This window comes from Homo sapiens, chromosome 2 (genome assembly GCF_000001405.40).
Source record: "Homo sapiens chromosome 2, GRCh38.p14 Primary Assembly".
Classification (NCBI taxonomy): Eukaryota; Metazoa; Chordata; class Mammalia; order Primates; family Hominidae; genus Homo; species Homo sapiens.
Genome location: NC_000002.12, coordinates 33,198,483 through 33,223,088, shown reverse-complemented (window position 1 = coordinate 33,223,088; position 24,606 = coordinate 33,198,483). Strand labels below are relative to the sequence as shown.

At 40.1% G+C, this 24,606-nt stretch overlaps 1 protein-coding gene across 65 annotated transcripts in view, besides 1 other annotated feature; it reads right to left on the bottom strand.

The window, feature by feature from the left end:
* Positions 1–24,606, bottom strand: part of LTBP1 (latent transforming growth factor beta binding protein 1) — a 452,557-nt gene that overhangs the window by 176,421 nt on the left and 251,530 nt on the right. For all 65 annotated transcript variants that reach the window (XM_011532853.3, XM_011532857.3, XM_011532861.3 and 62 more), the window contains 2 exons: positions 5,435–5,537; positions 938–1,009 (listed from right to left, as the gene is read on the bottom strand). In XM_011532853.3, the coding sequence (XP_011531155.1) occupies positions 938–1,009; positions 5,435–5,537 (175 nt within the window). The remainder of the gene's footprint in view (positions 1–937; positions 1,010–5,434; positions 5,538–24,606) is intronic.
* Positions 3,491–3,992: an enhancer, noted in NCBI's record as "NANOG hESC enhancer chr2:33444164-33444665 (GRCh37/hg19 assembly coordinates)". NCBI's record gives its function as "activates a minimal SCP1, AML or CMV promoter by ChIP-STARR-seq in primed H9 embryonic stem cells {active_cell/tissue: H9 hESC(primed)}" and the evidence as "EXISTENCE:reporter gene assay evidence [ECO:0000049][PMID:30033119]".

Sequence of the window (24,606 nt, the reverse complement as noted above, 5' to 3'; positions counted from 1 at the left end):
ATCCTAAATACATATGGTGGTGAAGGATACAGAGCCTCAGAACACAAATCAGAAGACATGTGCCATGTTCTCAACATGGCTTTTGGTTCTATCAGACTCTGGGAGGCTCTCTGCTTTCTCAGTTTCAATGTATACATATTTCCAAGTTACTAATAACAACATCTTCATCCTAGACATGTAAAGGGAAATTAGAAGCATTGGTCTTCCCATAAAGTAACTAAAACAAAATATGATATCATATATGGGTACTAAACTAGGCCTTGGTAAACTCAAGTTATAATCTCAGCTCTATGCTGCCACAAGAAAGTCACTTAACCTCTCTGGGCTTGAGTTTTCTCATTTATAAAGTAGACACTGTACCAGACAATCTCCTAGCTTCCCCCTGCTTGTACAACTTTGCTGTACTGTTCAACATAAACCAAACAAAAGTACTCAGGGCATTTCACACTTAGCTACATAGCTTTTCTTATTGCCTAGGCAAAATGTGTTTACTCTGATATCTAGTTCCTGAGATGACCAACAACATTTTGATGAGAGGAGAAAAGGGAATTCTGTTGCCCAACCATGCATTGGCAATGAAGTAGAACTGCTAAGTACATGTGGGTGCCTGCAAGCACATGTGTGCACACGCCCATGAAAGGATATGAGGTGACTAGCATGGAAACCACAGTGTGCTCTCTAATGTGATCCAAACTCTTTTAAATTCTATCCAAACTCTTTTAGATTAAAAACTTGCATCAAGTTTCAGTGGTAGTAAAGCAATTCCAATAACCATATTTTAAACTTATTTCCTTACATTTCCTTAGCCAAAAGGAGTGAACATGAGGTGGTTCACTGTGACAGGCTGGGCGAATGAGCAAGCCGTGGCAAACAACTGAAGTTTCTAAAAAGCCAAAACAACTGTTGAGTCCACATCAATGAATTCAGTTAGTCTTACCTTGGCAAAAGGTGTTGTTAACCCGCTTATAACCCGGTAGGCATTCCATCATTTGGTTGTATCCATGATAAGCTGTAAGGGAAGAAATGCTTTGTTACATACTTAAATTCTTACAATCTTAGACTAGTGTAAGTGATATCTGAAGCCATTTAAGGCATCAGCAAACTTACTTATTCATTTATTAATATAAGAAACCAATACCAATGTATATCTCCATAATTTTTTTCCCATTCTGCTTATTTTTCAGGATACTTATTTTGCAATAAAGTCCCAAGAAATTATCAGTAAATCTTTATTACGTTAACTGAAACAATCCTAAGATTGTTGTACATTTTCTTCTAATTAGTGATTACATATTTCCATCACAAAGGATCTATTCCTCCCCATTGATGTGCTTTAGGTTTTGGATTTTCTTATCCATTGTAGGTAGGGTTACTACACGTCCTGGAACATTCTGGGTGATGTCTGTTATTCCAGCAAAGTTAATTAACAGTACTTTACTCCCCAAAGTGTCCCACTTTAGACAATAAATTATACACTCATCCTAATTGCTGGATCGGGTATCCCAGTCATGAGATGATTCTCACCATTATGAACCAGAGAAGAATAGGCAGGTGATGAGAGGAAGTCAGGAAATTAAAAGGGCTACACTCAGAATATGCAAACAATACAAATGTTGCAATCACCAACTTCTCAACAAAACCCTATTTCCTGAGATTCTGATACTCTAGAGTGAGACTTGAGAGAGCACCTGGCATAGCGGATGCAGCCAAAGTTCTGGGATGTGGCAGAAGTGGATTTCAAATCCTCTTCCTATCAATAGCTGTGACCTTGGGAAACAAGCCTCTTGGGTTTCACACAGAAATTCTATACAATGAGGGTAATTCCCATCTACTGAGCAGGGAAGAATTCTTCTGCAATTTAGAGATAATTCATGAAAAATGCCTACCACAGGGCCTAAGTGTGATAAGCACTCCCAAAGTGTCAAATGCCATTGCTATGTCCTGCAGTAAGGAATTCTTCTATTAAGAGGCTACTGTGCAACAGAAAACAAGCTATAATCAAAATGGGATGAAAGATTAAACCACTAAAAAAGACTTGAAAGAGGAGTAAAAGGGGAAAGTAGAAAATAAAAAGGGAAATTTTCTCTTAAAAAATAAAATTATTTCAGCCTCCCCATATGCTCTTTATCTGTCACCACTAAAGGAACAGGGTGAATATGTACTGGGGTGTCCCTCTTCTCCTTCAATTCTTTTCTTTGCTGTATTTCCCCTCTCTTCAGATTCCCCCGAATGCCTAAAAGAGAAGATCAGAGTGAGGCATCTGGGAAAGGCAAATTAAAAGACGGGAGATATGGGCGTGTGGGAGTCCCTCCATTCAGCTCCTTGGCCTCAGGTCTGTCTTGTCCCATAGACCTCTAGAGCAGGCATCCTGCAGAGACTGTGGGATCTCTGGCTGCAAATTCCTCAAAGTCAAAAGAGATGGATATGAACTTGTTTTAGAACTTTCAGCAGTCATCTACTTGAAGGCAGAGAGCCAGACCAGGCAATCTCTTACAGTCCTCCTCAGCTTAGGATTTTATGTTCATTTTCTTCTCAAAAGTTTTAAAGGACAAGTGACTTGTTCATGCTAGGCACATTTCTAATGGGTCACAAACTATTTAAGAAATCATTTGCAGATTTAAAATTAAGTATTCACAGCAAAAAAAATGATCAACAATGAAAGGTCTTTCTGTATGTGGCTAAACAAAAACTTCAAATGTTAAATAAAAGCCACTTGAAAACTAAAGTTTGAACTAGTTTGAGTGAAAAAAAAGAGGTGTGGAACACAAAACCATAGCGTAGAAAGCCAAGGAAAGTCTGCTTCCTTCCAAACTGAATATGATTTAGAGAGGAGTCCCAACCAAGGAAAGGAAAACTTTTTAAATGACACAGGAAGAATGTGACCCTGAGTGTGTTTCTTGGGAGTGAGTCACTTAAGAGGACACAAACAGAATAAATGTCAAGATGTTAACAGTTTACTTCATTCATAGTCCACATTGCCCTTCCTGAAGTGAAGGCAGTCTCTTCAATTTTATACATTAAATGAGCCAACATATGGATTTTTTTCACCAACATTTAGTTAAAAGTGACAGCAACTTTGCACTTTCACATTCAACTAAGTCCTTATCAAGATTAAAATACAGAGCTCACAAACCACAGACATCAGTGAACTCATCTTAGATAAAAATGACGCAATTCTAGACAAAAACGACAAAAGGTCAAGAGTGGAAGTTAGGGATTAAAAAAAAAATAAAAGGACAGTAGGAATCTCTTTACCTTTAATGTCTATCACATCCCTGCTACTTTGGGGTTTGGACACAAGAGAAGAGAAGCAGCTAAGCAAAAGATACACAAAGAAGGGGGTAAATGAAAATGAAAAAGAAAAATAAGACAGATGGGGAAGGTATTTAATATTAGAGAACATAGACTTAGGACCAAAACAAAGTTCTATGAACCTAACTTCCCTCATCCTTAATTCTTAGACCAAACAGTGGAAAATATATCATCCTCCTCAATATTCCTACAGACAGACAGACATGGTAAACAAAGAGGCAGGTTTAAAAAAAAAAAGATGGCAACGCCTCTTCAACGTTTTAGGTATAGATTCCTGCTTAATGAGCTCTAAGACTCAATAGCAAATGAAAGAGCTGGGAGTCGAACTCAGGGCTACCTAACTTCAAACACTAAAATTTTTAAATCAAACCAAATGCATCATAGCTATCCCTTTGGTCAGGTTGCCAAAATAATTTTAAGCAAATGGATCTTCCAGTGACGATGAACCATCACACTCAACCTACTTCCTGGAAATTTGCATTGCAAATGATCATCGAATCAGCTTAGAACATCTGCTTGGAAAATTCTCTCAGTACTGAAAATGTCCTTATTTACATGGATTATTTTTGTAAATGAAGAATTCATTAATTATGAGGAACTTCGGTGGGCATTTCCACAAGTTAGTCTTCTAAAAAGAGATGAGTAGTATCAACAAAATAAATAAAATTACTTGCTTTAGGCATTTAGAAAATCTGTAAGTTTGTGAGACAAAGAAGTCCAAATGAGAGACAATTACTTAAAATGAATTGTTATACTGGTAGAAGAACAAATAATGTAAGAAAGAGATATGGAATACTAATGCCCAGATGGCAAATCCTAGATTGAATATAGAGGTTTAAAAGGCATTTGAGAATACAATCAAATCAACAGATAAGAGGAGTAAACAAAAATTATTCATTTAAAGCAAATGAGAAATTTCTTGCAGTACAAAGAATAAAAAAATTATAAAAACTTCAGTTATATGAGGCAAAGAAAGATGACTGACAAAAATATCACTTGCTCTCTTGGCAAAAACATGATGAATAAGGGTCAGAAAGCTCAACTTAAACCCAGTCACCTCTGTCTCTAAAAACTATTTATGGCCAGGCGCAGTGGCTCACGCCTGTAATCCCAGCACTTTGGGAAGCAGAGGCAGGCAGATCACCTGAGGTTAGGAGTTGGAGACCAGCCTGGCCAACATGGTGAAACCCCATCTCTACTGAAAATACAAAAATTAGCTGGGCATGTTGGCAGATGTCTGTAACCCTAGCTACTCGGGAGGCTGAAGCAGGAGAATCACTTGAACCCAAGAGGCGGAGGCTGCAGTGAGCCGAGGTTGCCCCACTGTGCTCCAGCCTGGGCGACAATAGTGAAATTCCGTCTCAAAAAGAAAAAAAAGTATTTATTAGAAATCAGTTATCCAGAGTTAATACTACATTGAAAAACTAAAGGTACAAATTATTGTCAGGAATAGAGTATTAAAAAGGTGTAAATCTGATTTATTCAAATCAACATGTTCTGAACAATAAAAGCAAATCAAAGCCTGGGGGTGTTAATATAGATTAATGTTGCTGAGGTCTGTGACAGCATAAAACCAGTGTCAGAAAAAATGGGAAAGAATTGTGTCCTAGTGATTATAAATTTCTCTTTTACAAATCAACAACCAATTATTTCTCCATTTTAGCTTTCCTTTTAATGAAATTTGAAAACCGATAATATAACAAAAACTACAACATAAGTTGTGGACATTAATAAAAATCTCATTTAAGGAATTTAAACCTAGGAAATAACAACTGTACTTTTTACAGGGTTTGAAACATTTATTTACCATTTTAAAAGAGATCTTATTTTCTCTTCCCCTGAGACAAAAAGTCCATTTTAACTCATTACCACTTAAGACTTTTTTTCCCCATAAGTAATCCAACTAAAGAGGATAATTAATAACTGTGCTTATTACAAAATAATTGACATGAAAACTTTTTCAGACTTGCAAATTTTCTGGAAATGCACATCATAGTACTACATTCTAGAATTCAGTAGGAGAGTTCTTTGAAAGTCTAATATTGCCTCATCATTAAAGGAGTAATCATAAAAAACAGATATGCTACATTAACCTGCAAAGGAGTGAGGAAACATTACTTACATGGTTTCTTGGGGCATTTCTGGCATTTGTTAAAGCCCCAGGAGGTACCCACAGTTCCACAGCAGTCCTCTTGCTTTGAAAGGCCAGGGAGCGCTTTGCCACACTGCAATGATTAGGTGTGAAATATGAAGGTTAATTGAGTGCAGGATGCCCAGCCCCAGAGCACTGCTGTCCCTCACAGCCACGCTATAAACCAGTTCCCTTGTTATCGACACAATTAGAAAGGAAAAAAACTATAAAACTTGGAAAGAAAATACCTGGACAGAAATCAATACAACACAAAAATGAACAAGTACATTTCCAAATGGGAGCACCTTGATGTTTTTCTAGTCTAAGAAAATCTGTCACTGCTCAGAGTACTTCATAAAACTTAAATTTCCAATGCCTTTTTTTCTTAATAAGAGCCTCATAGTGTGTAAGATCAATATAGGCTTTTTAGATTTTAGTTGTATCTGTCTGTTTAAATCTCTTGTGTGGACCATCAGGGAACATAACTCTTAAGGGTATGGCATGTGTGTAAAATGTGAGAAGATGGCACAGGTCCCACCTACAGGAGGCTTCTGGTCTTCCTATAACCCCAAGGCCTGGGCACAGACAGGACAGAAGAAACAATTACTGGCTGGGCCAAATCAGCTCTAGCAGAGACGAAGGCTCCAGGCAGCCAAGTATTCTGACCCAGGGAGGTCAGCCAAGCTAGGAAGGTGCCAGCATGTTTAAGCGAGACCAGCTTGAGCAGGCAGAAGAGTAGGACTTAGAGGCTACTGGTGCAACACTGGTTGTCCAGTGTTAAGACCAGGTAAGACTCCTGGTCAACCACAGGAAGTGAGAAAAAGCTGAGAGGCAGGGGCCTGAAGTTAGACCACCTCAATGGGGTGAGGAAGTGCCTAAGAAAACAGATCCTGCTCTGTGGACCCATCCAAAGGCCAGCCTGAGGGGAGGACCAGCTGACTCTCCACCCCTGCTATGCAGGCTAACACACCCCACATTTTTGTCTCCTGTGCAAACACAGAGCATCCAAGGGGTTATTCTGCCTTTCTCTGCCTCAGCCTCTACAAAAATCCTCCCAACAGTTTCCAGAGTTGTCTTTCCAAAGACAAATCTGGTCACATTACCGATTAAAAACTTTCACTGACTCTCCATTGTCTGAAAATGGCACACTCTAGAATGATCTATAAGGTCCTTCCTATTCCCACCTAAGGCAATCTCTTGTCCCCATCCACCTCTATCCTGCAGACATACCAAAGGGCTCTTTATTTTCTGAACAAATCACGTCCTTCCAAAAGGAGCATGTCTGGCTGGAACACCCTCCCCTTTTTTCTTTCCCAGAATAAACTTTATTCAACCCATGAGATGTATTAATAGCTCTGAAGAACCATCACTATGAAACCTCCCCTATCTCCTTAATTCCAATGAGTTCCTCCCTCCTTTTTACCCCACAGCACTGTCTATACAGTCTACTGCCTCTGAGATGCATTTTTGTTAAATGCGTATGTATCTTATGTTTATATTCCAGTACACAGTACACGTTGCAAATGCTCAGGAAACGCTGCATGAAGAAAGGAACAAACAACCTAGGGAACTAAGGAACAAGCTAGTTGTAGGCCATCCAGGCAAGCAATGGCTATGTGAAAACCAATGGAGGGGCCAGGCATGGTGGCTCACACCTGTAATCCCAGCACTTTGGGAGGCCGAGGCAGGCAGATCACGAGGTCAGGAGATCGAGACCATTCTGGCCAACATGGTGAAACCCTGTCTCTACTAAAATACAAAAAATTAGCCAGCGTGGTGGTGCGTGCCTCTAGTCCCAGCTACTCAGGAGGCTGAGGCAGGGGGATCGCTTGAACCCAGGAGGCAGAGATTGCAGTGAGCCCAGATTCACCACTGCACTCCAGCCTGGCGACAGAGCGAGACTCTATCTCAAAAAAAAAAAACAAAAAACAAAAGAAAACCAATGGAAGTTTAGCATCCATACCCCAGGCTAGTGAGCAGAGTGTGGTGACAGAAGGTCCAGGCAGGTGGTGGCCCTCAGAAGGACAGCAAGTAGTAGACACCAGTCACCTGGCAGGCCTCCAGGGGCAGCGTTTCTTTTCTGCCAGGTCCAAGCATGCAACATTCTGACTGAGGCGCTAAGTAACTACATATCCAAATTGTAAAACAAGACCAAACCACAGAAGGCTCAGCTAAGTTTTAGTTACATCATAGCTTTGATGTTCTAAGGTTTTATTATTTTTAATGATTTCAACAGGATGCTGTGTGCTCTCCAACAGCAGTATATGATAGTGATTAAAAATGTGACTCAGGAGTTAGAGAGGCCTGAGAATGAATTCTGACTGTAGGACTTCTTACACGCATTATCTTAGACATTTTCCTACCCATAACGTAGAGTGCATAATAGTATCTTTCTCCTAGGGTCATGAAACATGAAAGAAAAAAGGCATGTGCAATGCTGAACATTATAGCTGAGCACTTACATGTGTCAGCTATCATTACCATTATCATTATTATTATTATTATAGATAAAAGCTCCCTACTCCAGATGTCCCATTTGAGGCCCCAAATGTTTGTCGGATTCCCCAGGGAGTAGAAGGCGTGTGAGTGGAGTAGATTGTAAACGGTCCTGTCAATCAAACAGGTTAGTCTAATTGCCCTCTCGAAAGTACCAGACTCCATAAGAAACGACCCTACGAGACAAAATGAACTTCCCTAATATAAAAGCAGGTGTTAAAGACATTCTGAGTTAAGCAAAACTAGGCATACCAAAACAATTGCTTTTTTTTTTTTTAGATGAACTTGAAAAAACACGTAATTCTGGGGAAGGCACTGAAAAAAGCCCTAGTGTAAGTCAGTAAAGCCCAAGACCATCACATCTCTTGAAACCGGGGCAGTAACTCCTGCAGACACGTGACACGCATTCCTTGAGATAAAGAAACTCTCTTATAAAACAACACAACTGGATAAACAATGAGTGACGTTGTGTGCCAGATACCAACACAATGACCTGGGGAAGTCTGTTTGAAGACAGGGCTCTCAGCAAAGTGTTTAACCACGTGCAGTGAGGGAAAGTCCCCGAGGTTGGAACAGCGGCAGGGCCACAGATGAACAGTCTCAGACACGGGGGAAGACTGGACCAAAAAAAGAGTGATAAAGTGGTAGGTGGGTAGGTAGTCACAGAGATGACGAAACAAACATGCACAGGCACGTACACGCAGAGTGGGGAGAAGAAGAGGGAGAGACAGATCCAACGTGAGAACAAACGGGAACCTTAGAGAAGACAGGCACATATTTGGGGCTGGAATCAGGTAGTTTCCATACTCCTTGAGCTTAATCACAAAACGTGTAACCCTGAAATATGAAGGACTGAAGGGAGGAAAGGCGAACAATGACCCAGGCCTAAGACTGGGAACAAAATGATTCTGTAAAAACACAGAGGTCCCCACCGTTGCAACCTGGCTGCCAAAGCATGCTTAGGGTTTATTTCCAGTTTTATAAAATTTATGTAAGACACCAGTTCACATCATATGCAGATCATTCTTGTACTGGACTCTTTAGGTTCATCTCCTAATCAAGCGAAACACTCAACACTTGCTGATTTTATATGCTTAAAATGTTAGTAGCAGTTAAAATCCAATTTTCACCTTGGATTCCTAGAATGTTTTATTTGGTAGGGCAAAAATAAATCATTTTTTCTCAACAGGGCCTCCAGAAAGGTACAAGGTTTTCATTACATGATTCAGGCCGCTTTATCCCATGGCTTTGTTTTTGCAGGTCCACAGCCAAGAGCAGCATAAGCCATCCAAATTGTTTAAATAAATGGTAGTGTAGGTGGTACCACAACACTGTGTGTGTCTTGAAACTGGGTCTGCACAGTATAAGAATAAGCTACAAGAGATGAAGTCACAGTTATAACAAGACTCAAAGTTCTACATATGCCCTTCAGTTATTTAACTATGAAGAGGCTTCGATGTGCAGCCAGAAACTCCATCTGAGAGATCTCTGTGGCCATACTCAGGGCTCTCACCCAAGAGACCACTGAACACCATAGGGTCTCACCTGGATGTAGGAAATGCCTACAGGAAAAGAAGGTAGAGGAAAGATCTTCTCTCTCCCACACCAAAAGGCCACACTGAAGAGAATCACATGGAATAGGATGAGATCAGCATTCAGAAAATCCTTGTCTATGACTGTTAGGTTCTGCTTTCTGGTGAGATGTAATCACACAGATATAGGCTCACGCTAACTATATTTTTACGCACAGATTGAGGTGATGTTTTACAAGTTAAAAACACAAATGGAATTCCTCCTTTGTGAATTATTCACTACATTAACATGGAAAGCCTTATCATTTCAGGATGTGTCTTACGAATAAGTAATCCTGGAGAAATGTGCTAAATTTACAACCCAATATTTAGCTAAATCAAATCCAAAACAAAAATCCTATTGGGTCAAACAAGCTACAGTGCCTCAAAAAGCTCACACAACCTTGGGCTGCAGATTAAGGGACACTACAACCCTACACAGCTGTCCCAGGATTCAGCCCATGCATGACCTAGATGAAGCAGTGCAAGCAGAGAAATGAAAGTTCTGGCAACCAGGTCCTGTAAGGATCAACTGAGGAAAGGCGGAACGGTGAGACTACGTGCAGACATGATGGCAGTGTTCAGATACCCTGAGCAAGAGGAAGCCTGTTGCACGATGAAGGTCCAGGTTGAGGATCTCTGATCTAAAACGCTTGGGACTAGAAGTATTTTAGATGTTAGTTATTTTCAGATTTTAGAATATTTGAAAATACCAGTTGAGCATCCCAAATCCAAAAGTACAAAATCTAAATTGTTCCAACGAGCATTTCCTTGGAGTGTTATGTTGGTACTCAAAACATTTTGGATTCTGGAGCATTTTGGATTTCAGATTGTTGGATTTGGGATGCTTAACTTGTATTGGCAGGACTAAAGGCTACAAATCATAGAAAGAGTGGATTCAACCTCATTAAGCAGAAGATCTTTTCAACAGTTAATGCTCCTTAACAGTGGAAGATGCTGACTTCACTAGGAGCTGACCATGGAAACCCATCTCTCAGGGATGCCCAGGATATGAAGCAGATGACCTTTACGATTTCTGCAAGGTCTAAGGTTCTGTGGTCACTACATACTGATAGGTTACATTATCCCATCTAGGAAATACAAGTTACTACACACCACAGCAAAACTCAAGTGTTTCTGCTGCTCTCACATCTATAATAGGACTGCGTCTAGGCAGACGGCCTCCTAACCACCTCCTTTTGTCTTATCTCCTCCTCCCTCATTTCCACATCTCTAGAGTTGCTCATGCTGCCTGGGCCTCTAACTACAGCACTTATACAAATAAGGCAAAAGGAAGAAAAACAAACAAAGCTACTCCCAGCCTTGATTCAGCAGTGCACTGGTCATGATTCCTGGAACACTGAGTGCATGAAAATAACTTTTCAACCCTTCCTATGTGCACATCTGTATGAACACTGTGATGCAGAAGGTAAGGCTGTTCAAGAATCATTACAATTATTCCACAAATATCCATGTTACTACATTTACAACACAAAATTATTATAAGCAATAGTGAAAAAAACCTTTAATTTTGAAGCTAGTCATCAAAAATTACAGATTGCAGGGTAATGTATGTATCTAAATCTTGGCCTGACTGGGAACACATATCTTCAGACTTTAATCTCATTTTTGAGGTAATACTGTAGCACTTCCCTGATATTCAAAGTTGGGCTGTGATCATAGACACTTTTACATCTGCCTATCAATGTGAGAGGAAAGATAGTTCAAAACTTATCTGGTAACCAAGGATTACAATTTTTGTCAATTAAAAACTCCCCACTGGAGTTGCTTCAGAGGCTGAATGATGATTTGAAGAGATTGTGATAGATGGTGGAATATGGTTTCATAAGGTTTTATAAGATTTAATTTTCACGTATTAAAATCGCTGGTACCTATAGTGCCTACAACGTACCCTCATTCCAAGAGTGTTTGCTGCACTGTGCAGAGTCCTGGGGAAGGAGGATCCAGCAGTGGTGGTAAGAAAAGAGTGCTGGACTGGAGTCATTAGACTTGGATTGAAATCCCAGAAACTTCTTACTAGCAGTGAGAAGTTCAGCAAATCATCCAACCTCTCTGAGCCAGTAATCCCAACCCCAAAGGATTGTGAGATTAAATGATGCTTGTCCAATCCCAGATACTGGGACTCCATCAACCCCTGTGTGGGGATTAGAAAAGGGCAGCTGTAGGATGTGACCTGCATCAGGACATGGAGTTGGATGAGCAGAGCATGGGCTGGACTCCAGGCCCCAATCATCCTCCTCAACTGGTGCCTGGTGTGGGTAAAACCTATAACCAGCATTAAAGTACTAGCCATTTGATAAACTCTCAGGACACATTTATTAAAAGTCTTCAGATATTTAACTATTAAAAGGGCCACTCCATAAAGATAGCCACATGTCAGGAACCTACTACTTAATCTTACTATTTAAAACACTAAAAAATGATAAACTGAAATACTCTTATTAATTGTCTTCATTACATGTATATAACTCATTTTATTATGCTATGAAGGACTATTATATAATAAAGTATAAAATATTTTAAGTTTCAGTAGAGAACATCTTTTAGAGCCAAAGGAGAGAACCCAAAACGTTAAAGTGATACAGGTTTCAAAAAATACTTGTAGAGACTGCACTGAGGGAAAACATGAAATAAAACAGAAGTCTGATTCATTGTAACTCTTGCAAGAGTAAGTAGGACTGTGTTTAGGCAAGAACTGAAACAAGGAAGTGACTCAATGGCTCTACTGGGGAGAGAGATTCCAAAGAGATGGAACAGCTCTAGCTAAGCATAACACCAACCACCAGCTGGGAGAAAAGCCAGTGGCAACGGAGGAGGGTAAAGACAGGGGAAGGCAGGTCAATACGAAGGAACAAAGAGTGGGTGTGCAGAGTCAGAGAAGATGTGGAGCTAAACCATGGAGGGTTTTCCAAATTTGAGATTAGATGTACAGTTGGATATAAAAATCAACCAGGAAACAGGGGAAAAGAAGCATCATAGTTCCTTTTCTCAAAGCAAAAAAGTTTATATTGCTTCCAATTAAATAATTAGCATCTTTGAAACAATGGTAAGTACAGAAAGACTGATGAGGATGAAGAGGAGGAAAAGGAGAAAGAGATAATGTTTTTATAAAGGTAAAGTGTTCTATATCTAGTACTTCCCCTGAAATGTAAAAAAGAATTACCAGGACAAAGTATATCATTCACAGGGAGGAAAAGGAAGAAACTATACTGGAGATAAACATAATCAGGAATAACAAGAGGACAAAAATTTGAAATTAGATGATTGGAGGCCCATTGACTGTACTTTTTCTCAAACAAACAGCAGAAAGGAGTTAAGTTCAGCACGAATAATATCTTATCTCAACAAATGCTGTCCAGCCACAGCAAAAAGACTTCTGAACACAAAGCAAACTCCCAGATATCTACTTGCCTTGCAGCATTAGCACATTATGAACAGGAAACAGACTTTTCTGCACAACCACATTCCCCTTGAACTCAGTGAAAAGCAATGTAAGGATGACCCACAACTGGGTAAATGGCAAGAGGGCAGCTTTTGAAAATAGAAAAACATTCACATCTTCACTTTACCAATTACCACCTCCATGACTATAGGCAAAACTCTCAACGTCTCTCTGCCTATTTTGTCTTCTATAAAATGGCACTAGAGACATCCGTTTTTCATGGAGCTCTTGAGTGGACTGAGACAACACATGTGAGACGGACTGTATGTGAGACAGCCATATGGCCAAGCCCCACTGGGCTTGTATTAGATCTCTTCCCCCAGGCTCCTCCTTTAAAAACCTGGGCTTATTTAACAAAAGAGCAATTAATCTAGTAGTTATTCGATATACAATATCCCAGATTCAGCCTACAGATAAGAGATGTATAAAATAAACACGTAAGTTAGATATAGAAATAAAAGAAAAAGATATTCTTAAGACCTTGCTAAAAATATTCAGGTTTTCTCAAAAGTGCTCTGGCTAGTAAAGAAATACTCAGTGAATTAATGCTGTGGAGGGCATGTCATTGTATAGATTTCATTTTAACTCTGCTTAAGAAGCACAACATGGTATCATGGAATTCCAATAATTCAACTTGTAAATATTGACGTTCAAGCGGCAGATGATTTCACTTTGGGGACATCACGATCGTACTTGTCATGGTGCTATGTTTTGGTGCCAGAGAACCAAGACCATGAAGCAACAGCAATGGAGCTCACTGTGCTCCTTCCCCTCAAGGATCCATGGCCCAATCACAAAACACCACACAGCATGCGACTCTCTAACTAAGTCAGGTCCCAGAGAATATAGCTGTCCTTTCAGGTTTAGATAGCAATGGTTTCTTGTGAATCCTCCATCCCTAGAAGAAATGGCCTAAGAGTCAGGGTGCAATAGTAGAAAGACTGGCCAGGTGCGGTGGCTCACACCTGTAATCCCAGCACTTTGGGAGGCCAAGGCAGGCGGGTCACTTGAGGTCAGGAGTTCGAAACCAGCCTGGCCAACATGGTGAAACCCAGTCTCTACTAAAAACACACACAAAAAAATAGCCAAGCTTGGTGGCGGGCGCCTGTAATCCCAGCTACTTGGGAGGCTGAGGCAGGAGAATTGCTTGAACCTGGGAGGCGGAGCTTGCAGTCAGCCGAGATCGCGCCACTGCACTCCAGCCTGGGAGACAGAGCGAGACTCCATCTCAAAAAAAAAAAAAAAAAAAATAGTAGCAAGACTGGACTAGACACTAAAATCTTCAGTTTTACTCCCCACCTCCCACACAAACTCAACTGCAAACTGATCTACCTCTCTGGATGTTAGTTGCATCAACCCATAAAATTGTAAGGACAGACTACTTGCTAATACTCATTTAAGTGCCCAAGTTCTATGATTTTATGAAAGCTCCAGGGCAGGGCTGAGGGCAGCCAAGGAGCTACGTGGCAGGGCAATCCTATGAAGGTCGGTGTTCCTCAGGTGCCCCCTGCCTGCCAGGTTGATACATTAGATTCCATGCTGCCACAGCCTGCCTGGTGGTATCCTCATACCCTGACCTAGGCCAACCTAATCAAGGATAACCATAATAATGGGCTGCCTTTTCCTCACCCTACGTCATGCCAGCCCTTTCCTGCTAACCTGTACACACAAAGGGCAGCTCTACCTTCCTGAGAAGAGTTACAGCTCTTAAATGGCTCGATTCTAGATTATATTGGGTAGCTATAATGAATGATATAATTATCAATAGGCAAGATCTCAGAAATGATTCAAGATGGTCATGGAAATGCAGATCTTGGGTGTACTGGGCTGTGACCATTATAAAGTCACATTATAATCCATCAACCTACACTGTACAGGTATGTCCCATAAATTATTCCACCCATGCAGGTGCCATCCTCACCTCCATCCACATTCAGAAGCACATTACTCTAACATTCTGGCACAAAGCCTTGGGGTATTCTAGTAAACAAAAGCTACACCATCAATACTATGAATCTGGATGAGGAATGTTAATCCTATTTTTTTTGAAATCTTGAACTTCTTTTCATAAGAATCAGAATGAAGTCCCCTATGGGAAAAGTACTGACTACATGTAACAGGTTGTTGGATCAATCCAAACTTCGTCTTTCCTCTTCTTTGCTCCTCTTAAACTGTCTTTTCACTATGATATAAACACATCTCCACTCTGGAAAAGTGACTCCTGACAATGTTCTGAGCAAAATGGTGTTCTTCTAGCCCCTGAATCAACTATGGCTCCAAATTAAACTAGAAAATCTCATGAACACTCTTTAGTGTCCCAGTACTAGATCATTAAATATGCTTATTTCTATGCATCAAAAAGTAAAAAGTTCTAAATCTCTAACCCCTATCGCTAGTGCAACTAGAGCAACATATTTGATCAACTTGTTCTAAGGGTCGTTGTTATAAAGAGCACTGTACAATGCAGAACTGGCTGGGTAACAGGCATTGTCTCATAAGAAGAGGAAAATGCATAAATACTTCCAGATTTTCTAAGAGAACTTGTAAAAAAATTTGCTTTGGCTTGAGCAGAACATTCTTTATAGGCAAGGTTTTTTTCTTTCTTTTTTTTAAGTCCACTCAGCTTTCTTTTATTAGAGTAATTAAAACAATGTTAGGCATTTGGGGAATCTGATACAACTATAATCCTCTGATATTTCAGGCTATTGATTTTACAAAGTATCTACTGTGACTAGAGCATTTAACTGCTGGAAATGTATCCACATCGATTTCTGACAGTGTATTTGTTTAAAACCTGCTGAAGCCAAACCATGGGCTTCAAGGAATTCCAGACAACTACTTTAGTTTATGAAACGGTATTTTAAAAGTTACACTAAGGCAAAAATGGTTTTTAAAGTCACATATGAAGGGAAAAAAAACCCTCTTAAGCATGAAACTTATGATTCTACTTGACATCTTTTCTAAAGAAAAGATAGAATCTGTGCTGCCTATTTTCTCCACCTCTACAATGATTTGAACATTTCAACAGTCAAGTCTTCTTCCAGGCTGTGATATGTGTGTTTTGCTCTTAAGTTGCAAAAAGAAAATTTAAGTACAGTATTATCATGATTATATTCTGACATCATAATTCCTGTTAGCCTTTCCTTGGGGCAAAACAACACAAATCATGTGATAAATCCTAGTACTAGATGGTGAGTAGATCGAATTTATTTTAAGTTTAATTACTAGGAATGTGTCTAAAAAGAAAGACTCATGTTGAGAGAGGGAATAAAGATGTGCATATAGCCATGATTACTATCACCATAGCAACCTGATCACCCCCAAAATGATGAACATAAATGCCTATCTTCTCCAATTTTTCTTTTTTTTTTTTTTTTGAAATGGAGTCTTGCTCTGTCGCCCAGGCTGGAGTGCAGTGGCACAATCTCGGCTCACTGCAAGCTCCGCCTCCCAGGTTCACGCCATTCTCCTGCCTCAGCCTCCTGAGTAGCTGGGACTACAGGTGCTGCCACCACGCCCGGCTAGTTTTTTGTATTTTTAGTAGAGATGGGGCTTCACCGTGTCGGCCAGGATGGTCTCGATCTCCTAACCTCGTGATCCGCCCGCCTCGGCCTCCCAAAGTGCTGGGATTACAGGGGTGAGCCACTGTGCCTGGCCTCCAATGCTTATTTCTACAACCATATTGAGATAAATCTTCTATATTAAGCTTCATGTCTATAAAGAGATAATCAAAGGAACCAAAAACATTTTAGGCCTCATAGCACTATGTGAAATTGTAATGCATGCCTCATTTGGTTAAGCTTTCAGTTTTTTCTGTGTCTCTTCCAAGTACACAGAACTCAAAACTAATAATTACCTGTGGTTTGGTTGCAAGTCATGTAGAAAAACTGAAAGCCACAAATAACACTAACAGGTTCATTTAGATCCCTGGGTGCAGGGAACCATGTCTGTCTTGTCCACTGCCCTGACTCTTCTGGCAGAAACATCCATTGTTCCCCAAAGAGCCACTTGTTTCCCCACATTTCCCAGCTCCAAAACTATGTGTTAGATTGCCATAACAAAATACCGTAGACTGGGTGGTTTAAACAATAGATTTTTTTTTTTATTTCCTCACAGTTCTGGAGGCTGGAAACCCAAGATTATGGTACCAACATGGTGGATTTTTGGTGAGGCCCCTCCTCCTAGCTTGTGGGTGGCTGCCATCTGGCTGTGTGCTCACATGGACTCTTCTTTGTGCAAGTGTGTGGGGAAAGCAACAGAGAGGTCAAGCTCACTGGTCCTATCACATCAGGGCCCTGCCCTTATGATCTCACTTAACCTTAGTTATCTCCTTTTAGGCTCTGTCTCCAAATATAGCTGCATTGGGGTTTGGGGCTTCAACATATGAATTTGGGGATGGGAGGCATAATTCCATCAATAGCACTAATAGGTATGGCCATGGGACTCATTCTGAACAGGGGGCTATGGGAAAGGGAATGAGTGTGGTCCTTTGCAGAACCTCTCGTTCCCTGCTGTAGGAATTAAGGAAGCCATATATTCTGGATAACATGGCAGTAACATGATGGAACCACTATCAACCCAAGTCCCTGAAATATGCAGAGCAGAGTCCTCTGCTCACCTCTAACATGTCTAATGCACACAAAACGTAAACTTTGTTGTGCTAATGTGTTACTGAAGCACAACCTAGACTAATCTAATATATTTACCCACAATTCATGTGTGCCTAGTTCTAAGATCAATTCATAAGTGATCCTGGCCTTATAAAAAGCGCAAGCTGGTGAGGAAGAGAAACGAGGCACAAAAGCAACAACTTTAAAATATTTAAATTTAAAATTGTCTGATTAGATTCTAAATGCAATAAAGATTTAAGGAACAGAGAGAAGTGTGGGTTGAAGAAGTACTAAAAAGCTTTTCAGAGAAACTGATACTAAAGACGAGTCTTCTAAGTCAGTAGCATTTGAGAGACAAGTATAGGTTATTCATTCACTCTGTTTGACATTGATCTGTCCATATGGCCTGTGCATATGTCAGCACCAGTGGTGTCTAAGATTGCAGAAAAGAGCAAAGATGTAGAAATCATCATAGAGGTTTGGAGGGCTCAAAGACACCTTGGTAGTCTCCTTAGCCAATCCAATTATTTGAAAAATGAAGAAACTGAGGGCCAAGATATGATGAATTTGCTAAAATGGAAAGAGAGCTATTGTCTTGGAAATACCAACACAAGCTAGTCCCAATCTCTGAGCCTCAAATTTCACATAAATAAATGGGAGACATAAATGTCTACTTTTCATGTTTCTCCTGATTGTTTTGAAGGTCAAATCAGCTATCAGTTTTCTAAAAATGCATTGTCTTACGAAGAGGCTTGCCCCATGGCCAGGTATGGTGGCACACACCTATACTCTTAGCTACTTGGGAGGCTGAGGCAGGAGGATCACTTGAGCCCGAGAGTTTGAGCTTGCAGCATGCTATGATCCTGCCACTGCACTCCAGCTTGGGCAACAGAGTGAGACCCTATCTCTTAAAAAAAGAAAAAGAAAAAAAAAAAGAGGCTTATCTTGAAGCCACAGAATGTTAAGACCATATTCTTTAACAACTCCGTTAGAGCTTGCAGATTCTAAACCAGTCTTCTGCAAAGTGATCATCTTGGAGGCATTGCTCTCTTTGTTTAAAATATTTAGAAATATACAAAATATTTTGAATTTTAGAATGTTCTTCAAGGCTAGAGACATACTTTAAATATTCTCAACGGTGGCAAATCTTGTTCACAGACGTGTCCAAGCTATTTGCCCAATGGCAGTGTCACTAGAGTAAATGCACAGTCTCATACAGTGACCTTGTTGAAATAGAACATTCAATTCTATATATAAATTATTTTATTTAAGAAAGGAGACAGAAGAGGGAAAAAAAATGGAAGGATGAGAAAGGAAAAAAACAGTACTATCATGGTCTTAGAGAAGGTTCAGGAGAGAACTCTGTCCTCTTCAATATACGGCAAAAAATGTTGCTTCTCTCACTACAACTTTATGGGGCAGATTTCAGAGGACTGATTTTTTTAGTAAACCAGATGATTCTTCCTCATTTTAGCAAATCTCAATTCTGAGGGATAGCACAGAGCCACATCAGACCATCAGAGCCCAGAAATACCAGCTATAAATCCTGAAACCATTTCTTAAAATGTATAGAGCCAAAATCAACCATCAATTCAAGCCATCGTCTCTTAAAACTATTTCCAACATGCTCAGAACTGTCATCTTCAAACACAGTGACCATAAAATCTTACCACTTTGCCAATATCAGAAGTAGCTCAACATGCTTCCACTCTGAGCTGCTCCATAATTATTATTTTCAATGCTTATTCCTATGTAGGAACAGGAGTCTAATTATTAATAGGTATATTATTTTATAGAGCCCTAGAGGTATAAAATATGGTAATTTGATATTCCACGTCATGATAAAGGCATTTTAATTGCCAATAAAATGAAAAAAAATCTGAGAGGAGGGGCTTAGGGAGAACCAATGAAGAAACACATACTTGCTTCTCTTAAACAGGTCCGGGCAGGTGGACCCTTAAAGCTGACAGCCTCTTTGGTTCCCAGAAGACATCTACCTGGGTAAAGACCAGATACTGGGCCGCAGGAAGGGTAACGTCTGGGTCACAACCCATTCTCTGAAGTTCTAAGAATCTATATTTTGATTATCCTAATGTCCCAGCCCTACATTCTCAATCCAAGTAAAACGAGCAGTTCTCCTCTCCACTGGCAGGAGCCCAGTGACATGCAGACATGTTCTCTCTCACATGCGGTGATTTTCCCTCTTTGGATCTTACCCCTGTCTCTGCTGATCTTTCTTGACTCCAGGCTAGAGGGCCCCTGCGCGAAAGTCAATCTGGCAGAGGTTGCTGGAACAAGACCAGCTAACACTTAAAAGTCCCAGCACCTATCAGTGAGATGTGTAGGACACCTTCAGTGATACCTTCAGCTGTTGACGCAGGTAAGGTTTGGCACGGATGGCTACAGAGAGCAGCCATTTTAGAGCCACAAGAGACTCAGTAACACTCAATTAAATATTTCTTAGATTATGCCAAAGGAGTACTTGAGTGGGACACTGAAGAAAAGCCCAGATGGCATAGGAAGTGCCTGGTGTTAATGACTTATTCCACCTCAAGGAAGCCAAGCTTCAATAAATGCAATCAGCACACACTCCAACTGAGCTCTCTGCTCAGCAAGAAGACAGATGTCTAGTAGCCTCAGCCTCACCTTCCCCAGTCACTGCCCAGCAGCTCCTCCAAAAGAAGGCAGGCCACTGCACTGGTCCAAGATCACCTGGGAGGGCCCTATCCATAAGGGCATGTGGCCTTAGGCGATGGGGAGGAAGAGAGAGCCACAATTCACCTCTGCCCTCTACTGACCCAGCCTGGCTCAGTTCCCCTTCCACATAAGTAAGATGTTTTATAACCATTTTTTTCTTTAGACTTCTAATCTATTTACATAGTTTATGGACTCAGTTTAGGGAATAACCAGTGTGAAAAGTGTTACAATAATTCTGGCATTACTTCTGTCAGGATAAAACTAGGTTTGTTTGTTTTGTAATCATAGATTTAGGCTTCATCCCAGTAATATTCACGTTGCCAGGACAGGAGAGATACTGCGGAAATTCAAGAGCAGGTTTCTGAGCAGAACTCAATGTCTCAGCTCCCCTAAATGAACACCATTTCTCATCACTGAGAAAAGATTTCCAAAGTGCCCATCTCATCTGCATCGACCCAACCATCTACCCATCTTTTTCTCCCATGTGGAGTTGGCAGGCATCACATCTATTTCCCCAGCTTCTTACTGGCTTTTGTCCAGTGGAAACCAAGAAATATTTTTCTTTATTCAAAGTCCTGTGACAAAAGTATTGAAACTCTTTTAAAAAAAAGTAATTTCAGCCATGCAATTAGGATACTTTCCACTTCAATGAGCTCATATTTTCCTGTTAATTTCTCCATTAAGCTTATTCTTTTAAGTTTTTTTAAACAAAAGCTAAGTATATCTATTTGGCCCTTTAGAATGCTCTGTGTGTGTGTGTGTGTGTGTGTGTGTGTGTGTGTGTGTTCCAGTGCTAAGCTTTAGAGCTTAGGATGTTACTGAACATATCTGCCAAAAGAGACCTATCTTCAATTAGATAATCTTGTTCTCCAATGGTCCATTCTGTTTCCATTTTTCCTGTCCAAACAGAACTGCTGGAACAACTTCTGGCATCTCTAACAGAATCCCAAACAGTTCTTGTGTCACTTTAACCCAATTTTGCCCTAAGGCTTATTATTTATATGACCAATAATTAAAGGAAAAAAGAGTTTTCACAATGATTTCAGGATTCCACATCAACTACCAGTCCTTTCCTTTCTTCCTAATCCACATAAAGTTTATTTTCTTCTGTAGAATATGTATAAAGACCTTAATCTTGAAGTTTGTTTCTTTTTTTTTCTTCTTCTTTTTTTTTATTATCATTATACTTTAAGTTTTAGGTTACATGTGCACAATGTGCAGGTTAGTTACATATGTATACATGTGCCATGCTGGTGTGCTGCACCCATTAACTCGTTATTTAGCATTAGGTATATCTCCTAATGCTATCCCTCCCGCCTCCCCCCACCCCACAACAGTCCCCAGAGTGTGATGTTCCCCTTCCTGTGTCCATGTGTTCTCACTGTTCAATTCCCACCTATGAGTGAGAATATGCGGTGTTTGGTTTTTTTGTCCTTGCCATAGTTTACTGAGAATGATGATTTCCAATTTCATCCCTGTCCCTACAAAGGACATGAACTCATCATTTTTTATGGCTGCATAGTATTCCATGGTGTATATGTGCCACATTTTCTTAATCCAGTCTATCATTGTTGGCCATTTGGGTTGGTTCCAAGTCTTTGCTATTGTGAATACTGCCGCAATAAACATACGTGTGCATGTGTCTTTATAGCAGCATGATTTATAGTCCTTTGGGTATATACTCAGTAATGGGATGGCTGGGTCAAATGGTATTTCTAATTCTAGATCCCTTAGGAATTGCCACACTGACTTCCACAATGGTTGAACTAGTTTACAGTCCCACCAACAGTGTAAAAGTGTACCTAATTCTCCACATCCTCTCCAGCACCTGTTGTTTCCTGACTTTTTAATGATTGCCATTCTAACTGGTGTCAGATGGTATCTCATTGTGGTTTTGATTTGTATTTCTCTGATGGCCAGTGATGATGAGCATTTTTTCATGTGTCTTTTGGCTCCATAAATGTCTTCTTTTGAGAAGTGTCTGTTCATATCCTTCGCCCACTTTTTGATGGGGTTGTTTGTTTTTTTCTTGTAAATTTGTTTGAGTTCATTGTAGATTCTGGATATTAGCCCTTTGTCAGATGAGTAGGTTGCAAAAATTTTCTCCCATTTTGTAGGTTGCCTGTTCACTCTGATGGTAGCTTCTTTTGCTGTGCAGAAGCTCTTTAGTTTAATTAGATCCCATTTGTCAATTTTGGCTTTTGTTGCCATTGCTTTTGGTGTTTTAGACAGGAAGTCCTTGCCCAAGCCTATGTCCTGAATGGTAATGCCTAGGTTTTCTTCTAGGGTTTTTATGGTTTTAGGTCTAACGTTTAAGTCTTTAATCCATCTTCAATTAATTTTTGTATAAGGTATAAAGAAGAGATCCAGTTTCAGCTTTCTACATATGGCTAGCCAGTTTTCCCAGCACCATTTATTAAATAGGGAATCCTTTCCCCATTGCTTGTTTTTCTCAGGTTTGTCAAAGATCAGATAGTTGTAGATATGTGGCATTATTTCTGAGGGCTCTGTTCTGTTGCATTGATTTATATCTCTGTTTTGGTACCAGTACCACGCTGTTTTGGTTACTGTAGCCTTGTAGTATAGTTTGAAGTCAGGTAGCGTGATGCCTCCAGCTTTGTTCTTTTGGCTTAGGATTGACTTGGCAATGTGGGCTCTTTTTTGGTTCCATATGAACTTTTGAGTAGTTTTTTCCAATTCTGTGAAGAAAGTCATTGGTAGCTTGATGGGGATGGCATTGAATCTATACATTACCTTGGGCAGTATGGCCATTTTCACGATATTGATTCTTCCTACCCATGAGCATGGAATGTTCTTCCATTTGTTTGTATCCTCTTTTATTTCATTGAGCAGTGGTTTGTAGTTCTCCTTGAAGAGGTCCTTCACATCCTTTGTAAGTTGGATTCCTAGGTATTTTATTATCTTGGAAGCAATTGTGAATGGGAGTTCACTCATGATTTGGCTCTCTGTTTGTCTGTTATTGGTGTATAAGAATGCTTGTGATTTTTGTACATTGATTTTGTATCCTGAGACTTTGCTGAAGTTGCTTATCAGCTTAAGGAGATTTTGGGCTGAGACGATGGGGTTTTCTAGATATACAATCATGTCATCTGCCAACAGGGACAATTTGACTTCCTCTTTTCCTAACTGAATACCCTTTATTTCCTTCTCCTGCCTAATTGCCCTGGCCAGAACTTCCAACACTATGTTGAATAGGAATGGTGAGAGAGGGCATCCCTGTCTTGTGCCAGTTTTCAAAGGGAATGCTTCCAGTTTTTGCCCATTCAGTATGATATTGGCTGTGGGTCTGTCACAGGTAGCTCTTATTATTTTGAGATACATCCCATCAATACCTAATTTATTGAGAGTTTTTAGCATGAAGGGTTGTTGAATTTTGTCAAAGACATCTACAGAACCCTCCACCCCAAATCAACAGAATATACATTTTTTTCAGCACCACACCACACCTAGTCCAAAATTGACCACATACTTGGAAGTAAAGCTCTCCTTGGCAAATGTAAAAGAACAGAAATGATAACAAACTGTCTCTCAGACCACAGTGCAATCAAACTAGAACTCAGGATTAAGAAACTCACTCAAAACCGTTCAACTACATGGAAACTGAACAACCTGCTCCTGAATGACTACTGGGTACATAACGAAATGAAGGCAGAAATAAAGATGTTCTTTGAAACCAACGAGAACAAAGACACAACATACCAGAATCTCTGGGACACATTCGAAGCAGTGTGTAGAGGGAAATTTATAGCACTAAATGCCCACAAGAGAAAGCAGGAAAGATCCAAAACTGACACCCTAACATCACAATTAAAAGAACTAGAAAAGCAAGAGCAAACACATTCAAAAGCTAGCAGAAGGCAAGAAATAACTAAAATCAGAGCAGAACTCAAAGAAATAGAGACACAAAAAACCCTTCAAAAAATTAATGAATCCAGGAGCTGGTTTTTTGAAAGGATCAACAAAATTGATAGACCGCTAGCAAGACTAATAAAGAAGAAAAGAGAGGAGAATCAAATAGACGCAATAAAAAATGATAAAGGGGATATCACCACCGATCCCACAGAAATACAAACTACCATCAGAGAATACTACAAACACCTCTACGCTAATACACTAGAAAATCTAGAAGAAATGGATAAATTCCTCGACATATACACTCTCCCAAGACTAAACCAGGAAGAAGTTGAATCTCTGAATAGACCAATAACAGGATCTGAAATGGTGGCAATAATCACCAGCTTACCAACCAAAAAGAGTCCAGGACCAGATGGATTCACAGCCGAATTCTACCAGAGGTACAAGGAG